This window comes from Homo sapiens, chromosome 4 (genome assembly GCF_000001405.40).
Source record: "Homo sapiens chromosome 4, GRCh38.p14 Primary Assembly".
In the NCBI taxonomy this organism is placed as follows: Eukaryota; Metazoa; Chordata; class Mammalia; order Primates; family Hominidae; genus Homo; species Homo sapiens.
Genome location: NC_000004.12, coordinates 150,671,937 through 150,686,797, shown reverse-complemented (window position 1 = coordinate 150,686,797; position 14,861 = coordinate 150,671,937). Strand labels below are relative to the sequence as shown.

The following is a 14,861-nucleotide window of genomic DNA, read 5'->3' as shown; positions in this document are numbered from 1 at the left end:
TAATAATGTGTTTTTGGTTACTTTTAATGCTGTTTAATATGAAGGTATGTGGTGGTTCATAGCATTTCAGAAACCGGTGATTTTCTAAATCTCATCAGTAGATTTGAATTTCCTCTTAGGTGAAGTTAGACAAGGACAGATATGGATATAGTAGAGAATGTTGAAAGTTTACAGTTCTGTGAATGTCTGTCATTTCGTACTATTTGTTTTAGTGTATGGTTGGGTTAGATATGAAATAACCTATAGAATGCTTCTCAGTTCTTGAATGAATATATAAAAAATGACATATCAGTTGACATTTTTGTTACAATGAAATAATTTCCTAGTTATCTTCACTTAAACTGCTGCCCTTTCATACATTTCTTAATCATTTTCTTTTATTTGCTCAAATCATATTTTTGACAAAGTGAACTCTTCTGTGGTTTGGGTCAATCTTTTTTAAAAATATAGCGTATGAAATTTGCTTTTAATTTCTCATGAGTTATTCTAGTTCTTAGTAGGATTTATTTTCTCCACATCAGTGTTTAGATTAAATAAACAGTTTGCCTTTACCAGTGAACATCTCTCAGAGGTTGAACTCAGGTACTCTCAAGTACCCTCACAGAGGTTGCCCAGAATCTTCGGATTGACCCAATCTTAGATCTAATATAACCTGCTAATTTTGCAGATGAGGACATTTAGACCTAAAGAGGTAAATGAGTGAATTGATCAAGACTGACAGGAGATATTAGCAAGGGTGATACCGTAACCTGGTTTTTATTTTGCTTCCCAATCTTGTAGTCATTCATATAAGTATACTATGATTCCTGTGACTTTTTTCTATACTCATTCTGCATTCCAGAGTTTCTTCAGACTATTACTCGTTCTACCTGTATTTTGTACTTGGGTCAAACTCTCTTGCTTTGTCCCTCCCTGAAATTGATTAACGTTTTTCTGCCTTGCCTTTGCTTTAAAGGTTTCCTTTATTCCCACCCAAGACTAACTTCTAAAATTCCTCTTTATACAATTCAGCTTTTCATCTCCCTAGCATAGTGTTTTGCACAGACTAAGATATTTGATTCTTGGCCAGGCGCGGTGGCTCACGCCTGTAATCGCAGCACTTTTGGAGGCCGAGGCAGGTGGATTGCCAGAGCTCAGGAATTCAAGACCAGCCTGGGCAACACAGTGAAACCCCATCTCTACTAAAATACAAAAAAATTAGCTGGGTGTGGTGGCGTGCACCTGTAGTCCCAGCTACTCGGGAGGTCGAGGCAGGAGAATTGCTTGAACCCAGGAGGCGGAGGTTGCAGTGAGCCAAGAAGATCACGCCACTGCACTCCAGCCTGGGCGACAGAGCAAGACTGTCTCAAAAAAAAAAAAAAAAAAAAAAAAAAAAAATATATATATATATATATATATATATATATATATTTGATTCCTTATGCATGTACATATACACCATGCAAAGGATGAATTGCTTTTGGTGTAAGGAACAAAAAAAACCAATTTTTTTGGATGTTTTTACTGGTTTACAATGAGCAGGAGTTTATTGGCTCTTAAAAAAAAATCTTTAAAAAGTCTCATAGGGGTTGGCTGGTCTTGAGAATTTGATTGATCTGGAAGTTCATGATTCTGGAGTGAGCTCTGTTTTTCTACAATTTTCATAGTTCTGCTCTCATTTTGGCCATATCTTCAGGCCAGCTTCCCTCATGGTACAGAGAGCTTCCAATACTCCTAGAATTTGCTGCTTCTTTTACACCTTGAGAGGAAGGAGGGAACCAACTGTCCAACTAAATCTTGAACTTTGCCCTACCTGTACCAGTTACATCAAGTGTCCTTCCCTAATCCAGTTTGCCAGTGTGGGTGTGATTATTACGATTGGTTCAGGACAATCAGGACTCCTATTTGTTGCTGGGGTGGTGGTGGGAGTAGTGCGTGGCAGCAATCTATCGAAACTGGTATACTGTAGGAGAGGCAAGCATCCACAATGCATATTCCGTATGTAAACTAGAAATATTTATCCCAACATCAAGTTTATGTTACTTATCTATCAAAGGATATGTGTGTGGGGGTGGGGGAGAGGACTCCAGTAGACACTGAATAGAACAAAGGACCAAGTCTACATCCATCTTTGTTTTCTTATTTTAAACAATGCCTTAACTACAGTATCATAAACATGACACCACAAGTATCCGAATTCCAAAAGAAGAGAAATAAGCATTTTGGAGACTAGCAATTATAGTGTATCTGATTACTGACAAATAATTCTAAGGTGTTTTTTGGTAAAATTGATGATATCTAAGACAGTACTTTTCAGACTTTGATGTATATAAATTGCCTGGGAATTAAAATTCAAACACAAAATGAATAGATTTGGGGTGGGGCCTGAGACTCTGCATTTGAAATAAGATCCCAGGCAATCCCAGAGCTCTTGGTACATTTTGCTAGGACTTAAAAGACCAAACAGTTTCATGTTCTAAAGGTATTTAGAACTAGCTCAATTTACTATTGTAAGCTGCTATTGTCTCTTTTCTGGCCCTGTGCAGTGGCCTCATAACTGCCAACTTCACTTCTCTTGTCCCACTACAATCCATTCTCTAAATAGCAGCTATATGATCATTTTAATATGTAAATTTATCACTTCACTGCGTAAAACTTTCCTCTGGGATTCCATTACATTTGAATAAAATCTAAACTCCTTACCATAATACAAATGATGTAGCCCTGGCCTGCCTTTTGAAAATTATTTCTTAACCATTATTCTCCTTATTCACTATGTCTCAAGTCCTTTGCAACTTCACTTCATGCTGTTTGTCGTGCTGGGCCCCTGCTTCTTACAAGACTGTCTTTGTCTCATTGTTCAGGTCTCTACTTGAATGTTTACCACTTCTGAGTGTATCTCATGATTGACTTCACAGAAGTAAATTCTTGTGGGATGTTTTATTGAGACAGCAGATCACTAAATCTCAGTTAGGTGAATGAGGAATGTAAAAGTAGATTTAAAATTTTGGTTGTTTTGATTTAGGGTAAAGATTATTTCATAATGGATTTTAAAGGTTTTTTTCACATTTTTTATAGTATTATTTTTTTTTCTCTCCAAGTCACTGTGTGCCCAGTATTCTGCAGACAAACGAGAAGATGAGAAGATGTGTGATCATTTGATAAGAGCAGCAAAATATCGTGACCACGTGACAGCAACTCAACTAATCCAGAAAATTATCAACATTCTCACAGACAAGCATGGAGCCTGGGGAAATTCTGCAGTGAGGTAAAGGGATACCTTTAGGATTTGGCCACTGATTTTCTGTAGATGGCTTAGGTTTAGATAAATGACTTTGGATATGATCAAAGCCAGATGAAGAAGAGAGTAATTTAATTTTGTCTTTCATCATCTCTATGAATTTAAAGCCAAAGGGAAGGAGAAAATCAGTATGGGTACAATTATGGATCTTTATAGATCCATATTTATCCAATCAGTATGTGTACAATTATGGATCTTTGTAGATCAGTTTCCTCAACTACTTCCAAAATCATATTTGCTTTATCTACTTACTCCTTTTGAAATGAATTCTTAAGGGAAGCAGTTAAACTATCTTACTATCTACACTTATAGCCAAATTTTTACGTATATAACATTTTATTTTAAAAAACTATGCTCTTTTTATATTTTTTAGTTATTTGAAAGTAACCATATTTTCAAAGTATAATTTTGAAAATACAATAAAATGATTTTTTTTCTTATGTTGCAAATTTCAGGACTGTGATGATAAACTTGGTTAAATGCCTTCTTTAAAGTTTTACTCAATATATCTACCTTCTTTTAAGATAGCCAAACTGGACATGCTGTTGTTGATTTTACTTTATAGAAATTAATTAAATTGCCTTTAAGACTAAGGAACTTGGACAAATTATATATCCTCCATGAAATATTTTATGCTACAAATTTCAGGAACATGTGTTGACTCTTTTAAGTAAAGTTAATGACAGAAAGTTTTTATTTTGCTATTAGAAAACATTATATTTTAATTTCTAATTTTTGACCAACTTTTTCTAGAAGACAACAAAAACAAAAATAGTAAATTACTTGTATATTATATAAGAGTGTAATTTGCTTCCATTTGTGTTTTAATCAACTTATGTGTCTATCAGACATCAAAATCCAGTGTTAGAAATTTTCCAGTATAAAGAAAAAAATTTTAACTTTTAGAAAAGTAAACTTCAAAAATTTGCATTGAAAGCTATTTGTATAAAGTATTCACTAATATAGAATAAATGTAGCGTGTGATATTTATTACAAAGAATATTTGCATATAATGAATTATATTTCTGGGTACCTAATTTTTGATATTCAGAGAAAGAAAGGCAAGTCAAGGTCTTGAGATCAAAAGGACAGCCAACAGGAACCATGTTTGTTTGTTTGTTTTAATGTTATTTCAGTTGATCTGCAGGTGCAAGAGTGGTTATGGAAATAACATCTATTCATGGGTCAGTGATCTCTGGTGCCTTATCTTGCAACATCTAAAAGCCCATGGCGAGGAGAATGGAGGAGTGTTGTATTGAGGGTTTTAGAGTTTCAAAGTGCTTTATTATTACAGATTTGATATCATTTTGACATCAGATACTGAATGAATTAGGATATTACTCTGATGCATAGTGCCTGACACACAGTAGGAACCCAATGTGCATTTGTTGAATCTTTTTAAAAAGTTATTCTTTTCACCCAAAAGGTTTTGCAGTTTTAAAATAAACACATTTAGATAACTTATGTCAAGCGTTTCATGGGTTATTTTGATGGGATCAAAATTCTTTCTGTTGATAGCTGTACCTTTGTATAGCATAGTATATACATGTGGTATCAAAAGGAAAACATAGTTTTCCTGAAGTGATTTTGGTGTAATAAAATATCTTGGAGAGCTAAATGGACCATGAAATGTATTTATCTAGAAATAATTAGTGTTTCAGTAATAGAGTTGTTCTAAGGTATCAACTCTATTATTCATTAAGCCAGAAACAACTGAAATAAATTTTGAAATTTTAATATTTCTGCAAGTCCACAGAACAAAATATCTCTTACTTTTTCCTCTCAAATGAAAATAGCTGTCAAATTATTAGCTTTCTAATGTGTACATTTTAAATTCAGAACAACAAGAAAGGATGTACCATCACAAAATGGACATGATTAAATTAATATTTTCCTCTCTATAAATCTCATCTTACATTAAAAAACAATATGTAACAAAGCACATTGCCTGTATGTTCATATTTCTTTGTCATTATATTTAGTTCTGTATCATATTCAACTGTTACTTATTTAGAATACCTGGTTTCTCCCTAATGCATTTTTAAAAATTATCTTTAAATAGTCCTTTTCAATATTAATTCCCAATAATGTGAAGTGTGGATCTTAATGTTCCTTTTAAGGTCCATGTAAGAAAATGTAGCTGACAAAAATGTATGCTGGCTCACCATACTTTGACAGTGGTTAACTATTCTCTGATTTCCCTTGTATGAGGCTTGCATAATCAGCTTGTAAATTATGGACATGGTTGTAATAAATGGGAATAACACAGTGTACTTTGTTCTTCACTTAGCATAATTCTAGAAAACATAAATGGCATTAGAGAGAAATCAGAGTCATACTGTAGCTGTAATGCATTTAACTATGCTAAGCCTGCTAAAAGAAATATGCACAATGAGCAAAATTCTAGTGAAGAGGATTAAATTAAGTATAATTTCTTTGCATTTTATCTAAAGAATTATAGTAGCATTTTGTCTTTTAACTCAATCATATTAGAATATTTAGAAATTTCATTTGTGGCATTTTTTTTATTTTGACCCTCCTTTGGAATCCACGTAATTTGCTTGTAGCCATGGTTATGTAGGCCTGATACTTTCCCATTAATGTCATTTATTTTGTTTCACTATTGATGGCTTTTCTAATGCCACACGATCAGTGGGCTGCAATGCTGGCAGCTGGCCTGGGATCGGCAGTGGTTTTAATAAATCACAATCAGACCCATGCCATTACATCAATATTTTTAGTCAATTATAGAGAAGGTCAGGTGCTACATTCAGTATAGGAGCCTCAGCATGTGGCATTTGAGAAACATCTGGTCCTGCGACAAAACTGCAAGCCGGGGAAAAAAGAATCCAATTTATCCCATCTAAAGAGACCAAATGAAATCTGCTGCTTTATGGATAACACAATGATGATTATAGCCATTTTGAACATGTTATAGTTGGTAGACTTAATACCCTTTATAAAGACATATTCCCAAAAGTTTCCATTCAATAAAAACTGAAAATGAAAATATTATTTTCTCAGAGGCAGATGGGAATTGTTGTTTCCTCACAGCAGGCATCTAATATCTTTTGACACCTAGTGACCTGCCTGAATGCAATTTGTGTCTTAATATCTCGCTTACACCAGCTTTTGCCATGAGAGTTCTTTCTCTCTCTCTCTTTTTTCTTTGATGCCTAGACTATTGCATTGGTAAGTAAAGGAAAGTATTCCTCCCTTGGAGCTCTGATAACTGTGCCCTTTACTGTCATTGCATTTTTTCAAATGCTTAGAGATTTCAGGAAATAATGGGACAGACAAGTACCTGTTCATCCATACATTACTGTCACCTGGAGTGAGGCTCAGGTGAAAACTGAGAGAGCTTGATAAGAATAGTGGAATAAGCAAGAAAGAAGCCACAAATGAACAGAGTGGCAGAAGTAATTTTTTTCCGGTGCATGGAGCAGGCATTGTGTTTATTTGGGTCAGGAGACAAATCATCTTTCATGTAGATGACACCTGGTAAAGTGGCTGAATGTAAGAAGGATGAGGAGAGATGATGGAGAATACTGGATGGAAGTCTCAGAGGACATACTACCCTTTTCTCATATCGTCCTTCATTGCATTCTAATAGGCTGACTAATGTACCATGGAAATTCACTCTTGGTATTAGTCTGGGAAAGAGGTGGTTCTCATCTCTAAAAAATGCATAGGTAGAGCTAGAGACATAAATTATTTTAGAAGTAATAAGGTTTAGGAATTTTTAACGGAACCTCATATCAAAATTCTTGAATGCTTTTGATTAGTTTAGGAGACTGTTTAGGTTTAGATTTCTGCTGCTTTAAGAAACTCCTTTTCAGATTGCTTGAGTGTGTTCTAATGGATGCCCTCAAGCTAGAGGCGTCTCTTCCTGAAAGACATTCATCTTTTTTCTGTGTCACAGGCTTGCCGGTAAAATCTTTGTGATGCTCTCTCCAATTTTTCTTCAGTAAATCAAATCTTCCTTCTTTCAGAAAGATGAATGCTGTAAGGTTGGAGTGTTATAAAAAAAAATCAATGCAGACAAAATTGAAACAGTATGCCTCTGTATTGATTGGCCTTGTGAAATCGAAACTAACAGCTTTGTAACTGTTCCAGTGGACAGTTAGCTGACCTGTAATGGACAAACTATCAATATTAGCATTACTATTTTATCTTGTAGTATGTCATTTTAAAATCCAGAGTCCAAGGAAAGGCAGGCCTAAAGAATTTTTAATCTTCTTTGTAGGAAATATCCCACTTTGTTTTTATGTACCATTGTTTGCAGAAAGGAGTAGCTAATGTACTTGACCCGTTAAAAGCTATGGCTAGGGTGGTGTTGATTTTAAATCAGGTTCTCCTTTTAAGCCTAAGGAAAGATTGTTTTGAAAATAATTTCTGATGTTTTAATATATACTCATTGGTGAAATTCAATATTGAACTCATCTTGACGTATTTTCTTTTCCAAAAGAAGTATATCATGTCCTATCTTTAAAAAAATCCTTTACCTCTAATTTTTTTTTTACTAAATAAGTAATATCAATGAATTTGTAGTGAAATTAGTATACTAAAATGCTAATATACCTTACTTACTAAGAGTTCATCTTAGGCATTTGATTCCGTTACGCTATGTGGATAATCAAGCAAATGGGTACTCATAAGTGCAATATACACCCATTCTTATTCTTTCTAATGCGTTTATTTTTATTCCTAAGCCATGCCTAGGAGCTAGTACTTGACATCAGTGCAGGCACCACTCATTGCTCTCTCTGGGACTTTGACGATGCTAGAAATTCTTTATAGCCATTCCTGACAATAACATTGTAAGATGGCTTAATAAAGGTAACATTTTCCCCATGTATCCCCTCCTTGTTCCCCTTTCATAAGAAGGAGAGGGAAAAAATCAATAGCTAACAAAACAAATGGAAGAATCAATGGAGATGTTAGTTAAAGAAAACAGGTATATTTTTGAAAGTCTTTGCATGACTTAGTGTTTAGTTTTAAACACTATGTACTTTAAATGCCTGTGGCCAGATACATAATGAGACTCACCTATATGCTCATTTTTCTAGTAAGTTGATATTTCTGGGATCTGTCTCTACCACAGAGGCATATTGCAGTACTGATACTGAGGAGCCATTTTTTTCTTGTGTAGTATGTATTATATGGTCACAGTATAGTTGTGTCATATAATTATACATACTTATGGCACTAGATTTGAATTTTTATTATTAGTCAAACCTTATTTGTACTTTTCTTTCTTTTTTTTTTTTTTTCTTGGAGACAGAGTCTCACTCTGTCACCCAGGCCGGAGTGCAGTGGCAGGATCTCAGCTCACTGCAACCTCCCCATCCTGGGTTCAAGCAGTTATCCTGTCTCAGCCTTTGAAGTAGCTGGGATTACAGGTGTGTGCCCCATGCTAAGCTGATTTTTTTGTATTTTTAGTAGAGATGGGGCTTCACCATGTTGGCCAGGCTGGTCTCGAACTCCTGACCTCAAATTATCTGCCCACCTCGGCCTCCCAAAGTGCTAGGATTATGGGTGTGAGCCGCCATGCCTGGCCTATTTCTACTTTTAATGGCTAGAAAAATGTATGAATATTATCTTTTGTATATTTGTGATGTACTAATTACAGGCCTGATACTGAACATATGGGAATCAGAGAACTATACACTTTTCTCTTTTCTTTTTTCTTTTTCTTTTTCTTTTTTTTTTTAAGACATGGGATCTTGTCGTGTTACCTAGGCTGGATGCAGTGGCGTGATTATAGCTTACTGCAACTTTGAACTCCTGGGCTCAAGTAATCCTCCCACTTCAGCCTCTCCTGAGTAGCTAGGACTACAAATGGGAACCACCATGCCAGGTTAACTACATTTTCAAAGAATGAATATAAAGCAAAAAACCACATAATTTCATTGGCAAGTAACATGTTTTGCCATATTCAAAATTGAATATGTGCTTTTTATAATTCTGAGTAAAATATTTTTGTATAATTTCAAAGACATAAGGAATAAAATAAACTTATGGCATCCAAGTGTCAGCATTAGTCAATATATTACAAAAGTAAATAAAAACAAATTGAAAAATAAATTCAAGTTGTTGCACATATGCTCATTGAAACATTAAAAAATTTGTAGCATTTTTGGAATATCCTGCAAGTCTCATTATGCAGTTTTTCTTCAAGTCTCCAGTTTTTCTTGATATTCTTTCCTCCTATCTTCTGTGGCATTTATAATCAATTTATATTGCAGAATTTAGTACTTGACAGTAAGTTCTATTTCTTTGTTTTGTGTGTAGATTATAAGATTTTAGCCTTATGTTATTTCTGTAGTTCTTAGCATAGTACTGAACCTACAGTATGTCATAAAGAAATCATTTTTGGGGGTTGGGGGGTCAGGTAAACTATTAGTCTTAAAATTTTCATTATGCTGTATGAACTGAGAAATATTTGTTTCAACCAAAGCAGTAATAAATTTTGAAAAATAAAATTCAAAATATTTTATCATAACTAGTTGTAAACTATGAAGGATAAGATTGATTCAGAGATTAAGAGGAGTGTAATAGAAGTAGAGTATGTCTGAAAAGAGATGTACTATAGATAATACAGACTTGGGAATTTTGGTTTCTGTTTGTAAAGAACACTTTTCTTTGACAATTAAGTTCTGAGTAGATGAGAAAATTTTGAGATTCAGCAGATAACTAGAAGTTGTAGTTTGGGGGTGCTTGAACTTTTAAGTCTCTGTAGTAATTTTTGCTATAACCAGAAATTTTCAGAAGTATTCCAAAGGGTTGGGAGCAAATAAAATTATTTAAGGAATTTGAGAAAATATTATGGTTTTATATGGGTCTAGAGTGAAACCAAACAGTCTTAAAAAAAAAATCCCAATATGAGAATCACTTGAGAACCACAGCAATAATTTAGCCCAGCCTTGAAGTTTGTTGACAGGGCTGCTTCTACTTCAGGACCCTGTAGGCTGTTATAATAGCTGATATTTGACGTTTCAAATTTTGTTTCTCCTGCCTATTGGAACAATTCTTCTTTTCGTATTTATTTAGTACTGGCTGTATACCACTTACTATGCACATTTTGGCACTGTAGAAATCAATATGAATAAGACAAATATATCGCTTGCCTTCATGTAACTTTTTCTCTAATAGGGGAAATAGAAAAGTGAAAAACTATAAATAAATAGCTTAAAAAGCAATGATTATAATTTTTCACTGTAAATGGTCATAAACAAGGATATATTTGGAGGTTATAAAAGGGCTTTTTTAAAATGTTGTCTTTCTCTAATACAAGATTAGTGTGATTTTATGGAAAGAGCACTGTGCAGTTTGATGCCTTTGTATTCTCAGCCGTTGTCATTAACTGGTTATGTGACAATGAATAAGCTAAAAAAAAATAAGATCATAATTTTCATATACATTCATTATAGACAAATTGCAAGTGAGAAGAAAGTAATAGTCTGTTTGCATAGAGCTTGAGGTTTAAAGAGGGGAGATGTTAACACAAATAACTTACTGCAAATATATGGGCAATCTTACTATTAAAATAAGTTCATTGGATAGTAAGGTCCTCTTCACCTCTAAGATTGTGTGATTCTAAAAGTTTATTCAAGAATTAGAAAATAAAATTTAGAGCTTTATATGTTAATATCTAGGCTAGATATGCTAGTATTTTAAATAATTATAATAATAGTGATGTGAATAATAGGTGATACTTACTGAGCAATTAATTTTGAGCCAGACACTGTGCCAAGTATTTTTATTTAATTAATTATTTAATTAATTTATTTATTTTTTGAGACGGAGCCTCGCTTTGTCGCCCAGGTTGGAGTGCAGTGGTGGGATCTCAGCTCACTGCAAGCTCCACTTCCCGGGTTCAGGCAGTTCTCCTGCCTCAGCCTCATGAGTAGCTGGGACTACAGGCACGTGCCACCACACCTGGCTGATTTTTTGTATTTGTAGTAGAGACGGGGTTTCACCATGTTCGCCAGGCTGGTCTCGAACTCCTGACCTCATGATCCACCTGTCTCGGCCTCTCAAAGTGCTGAGATTACAGGCATGAGCCACCGCGCCCAGCCCTGTGCCAAGTATTTTTATAAGGATTATCTCATCGTATCTTAAAAACAGAGCAATGAGATAGGTAGTATTAATTGTCCCAAGTTTACAAATGAAGAAACTAGAGCTTTAAAAGTTTGTTACTTGACCAAGATCCAAAGGCTAGTATATTGAGTAGTTAACATTTGAACCCAGGCATTCTGACTCTAGAGCCTGTACTCATAACTATCATGCAACTTCTGTTTTGTTTTTTTGTTTTTTTGTTTTGAGCTAGGGTCTTGCTCTGCCACCCAGACTGGAGTGCAGATCACAGCTCACTGTAGCATCAACCTCCTGGGCTGAAGCAGTCCTTTTAACTCAGCCTCCCTGAGGCTCATGCCACATCTGGCTATTTTTTTTTTCTTTCTGGGCAACAAAGTCTCACTATGTTGCCCAGGCTGGTCTTGAACCCCTGGGCTCAAGCAATCTACCTACCTTGGCTTCCAAAGTGCTAGGATTATAGGCGTGAGCCATTACACCCAGTCAACTTCTTAATATTAGTAGTTGGTATTAGTTTGGTTTTTGTTCTTGTGGTTTTTTCGTTTTGAGACTGGGTCTTGCTCTTTTGCCCAGGATGGAGTGCAGTGGCATAAACATGGCTCACTGAAGCCCTGACCTCCAGGGCTCAAGCAGCCCTCCTCCTTCAGCCTCCCAAGTAGCTGGGACCACAGGCACATGACACCATGCCCGACTAATTAAGTTTTTTTGTCGAGATGGGGTCTTACTGTGTTGCCCAGGCTGGTCTTAAACTGCTGGCCTCAAGTGATCCTCCTGCCTCAGCCTGCCAAAGTGCTGGGAATTACAGGCATGAGCCACTTCACCCAACAGTATTAGGATGTTTTTTAATTTTTATTTTTGAGTGTTTACAATTTGCCAGGGATTTACTGAGCCCTTTACAAACATTATTTCATTAAATCCTCACAACAACCCTGTGAAGTGTATATTATTATTTCTGTTTTGCAGTGGAATAAATGAAGGTTCAGAAGCATTCTTGGTTTTTCAAGTAATAAAGCTTTTTTTTTTTTAGACTTTACTGTTTGCTACTTCAACTGTGGTGAACAATAAAAGGCTGTGACTGTTTGACTTTTTGTATTCTGAAATACTTGGGTCAGGATCATTCTTATTCTGTTGAGAATTTGATTTCTCTTTCCTTTCCCTACTCTTTTACCTAATGATTTTTACCTTTACTTCTTTAGCCTGTTTTCAAATTCATTTTTATGCAAAAAAAAAACCCCAAAACCAAAACACCACAAAAATTACTTTTTTTTGTAAATACTGTTCTTAGTTAGAACCCCAATATATAAAATGGATAAAAAGGAACCATCCTAGCTGACATCGAAAGCTCATGGGTTTCTTACTCACTGCTGCTCAAGGCATCTCACAATATGAAAATCACTCCCCAGCCCATTAAGGAGATAGGTTCCAATGGCAGCTTGTTATAATAAAAGGGAAGTGGAACCTAACCTCTTAAATCATAATATATGACTCTTTCTGGCATTGTCCAGCCTCCCTATAACTCTCATTGTCTTGTATTGAATTATCTTGTTTAAAAGTATAATTAATTTTTAGTAAATAACACAATATTATTCAAATATTAGTATGAAAGTGATACATGATTGGACCCGGATTAAAAACCAACCACATGAATTGTTAATACTAAGTTTATGAAGTGTAATAATTGTGTTGTGATTATATAAGAAAACATCTTTGTTCTTAGTCAATAAATATAGATAAAGGTTGAAGTGTCATGATATTTGTAACTAACTCTCATTTGATTCAGAAAAAAAATAATGTCTATCACACATATGCCAAGAGAGACTAAGAGGTAGCATGATAAAGCAAATGTACTGAAATGTAAGCAAGGTGGGAAATTTAGATGTAGGATTTATTTTTTTAAGTGTTCTTGCAACTTTTCCTTTAGTTTTTAACTTTTGCTGGGAAAAATACATCTGAGAAAATACTGAGAGAATTCCTGTTATGAGTTTTCCTTATGTTTTATTCCTCTATCTGTGGATAACTGAGAATTAAAACTTGGAGTTAAATATGAAATAGCTGGATATACAATGACTTATCTTTTTTCACCAAATATGTAATTAGAAATTTTGGTTGTATATGCCGAATTAGAAATTCTTTTACTTAAAATTTTCGGTTTAGTAAATTCTTGTCAATTTTTTTCTGTCTTAAAAAATAATACTTAGATTAATGTATACTTTCCTTCAAAATATCTGATACAGTGATATATAGAGATTTTCAACACTGTAGGTCATGAGAGAAGTCATTTATGCCTCTCCTTGTTTTATGGATGAGCAAGTTATTGTGGAGAACTTAAATGATTTGCTTAAGAGTATACAACTGGTTTTCTGGCAAAGCCAAGACTCAGAATCCTACTCTCCTGACTCCCACTTCACCATTTTGAGAATGACTGACTAAATCAGTCAGTCATTTGTTCGTCATTCCAAGGGTCTTTTCCTTCCCTTCTCCTTACTACTTTCCTTTCATTCTTCCTTCCGTTGATGCATTTCTAAATAAGTTTTCAAAATAGATTTGTTATGGAACTAAGAATTACTGGACACCTATTATGTGCCAGGCTTTATGCAAATTACTGAGTATATAACAGTAGAATAGACAGACTTGGATACTGTCCTCACGTAGCTTAGAATTTAACAGATTGTTGCTTTGAGTGTAGTTTAGATTTCCTTTTATTTTCTGCTTCCCCTGGTATCATGCTAAACCAGTCCTATAGCATTGTGTGTTTAGAATGTTGTTACTTATATCTCTGATCCAGATGATAATTTGGAAAATTTCCAGAGAGGGTATTTTTAATACGGAGTATTTATTATCAAAAAATTAAAAAAAATAAATTATAATAACTTTAGAATACTAAAGGATTGATATATGAAAAATTGCTTTTCTACAATTATTTATAAAAATGCATTAGGAAATTGTAGATGTACATTTTCTTAGTTTTACTTTTACATTTCTGAAGTTTATGGTACCTTAGTAAGTATATACTTCTGCAAAAGCAGAATGTTCACTGTCAACAGAGAGTATCTTCTAAAAAAAAAAAAGAAAAAATCGAAACTTTATTACATATGGGCATCTTCTTGTCAATGTTTACTACTGATGTGTTGGTTCTGAACTATAGCTGTCTATTAGAATCACCATGGGATTATTAAAAAAAGTACTGACGCCTGTACACCTTTCCCAGGATTCTGATTTAATTGGTCTGGAAAATGGCTTGGTAGTTAGTATTTTTAAGAAGCTCCCCATTTTATCCTAATATGGTCAATGGTAAAAATCACTGTGTTTAAATAGTCAAAGATTGGATTTTCCTGTAATTGCTTTTGACTAACAAAATGAGCATTCCTAGAAATTGATGTTAGAAAGGTACTTTAATGCTTTATATTATACATTCAGATTTCCCAGAAATGTTACACCTTGTTGTCTCTATCCTCTGCTGCATTTTACACACTGCTAATTTCCT

The 14,861-nt window shown here is 34.4% G+C and overlaps 1 protein-coding gene across 9 annotated transcripts in view; it reads left to right on the top strand.

The window, feature by feature from the left end:
- The window catches only part of LRBA (LPS responsive beige-like anchor protein), a 751,293-nt gene that overhangs the window by 328,930 nt on the left and 407,502 nt on the right, over nt 1-14,861 (top strand). For all 9 annotated transcript variants that reach the window (XM_047416462.1, NM_001367550.1, NM_006726.5 and 6 more), the window contains exon 37: nt 3,081-3,247. In XM_047416462.1, coding sequence (XP_047272418.1) covers nt 3,081-3,247 — 167 coding nt within the window. The remainder of the gene's footprint in view (nt 1-3,080; nt 3,248-14,861) is intronic.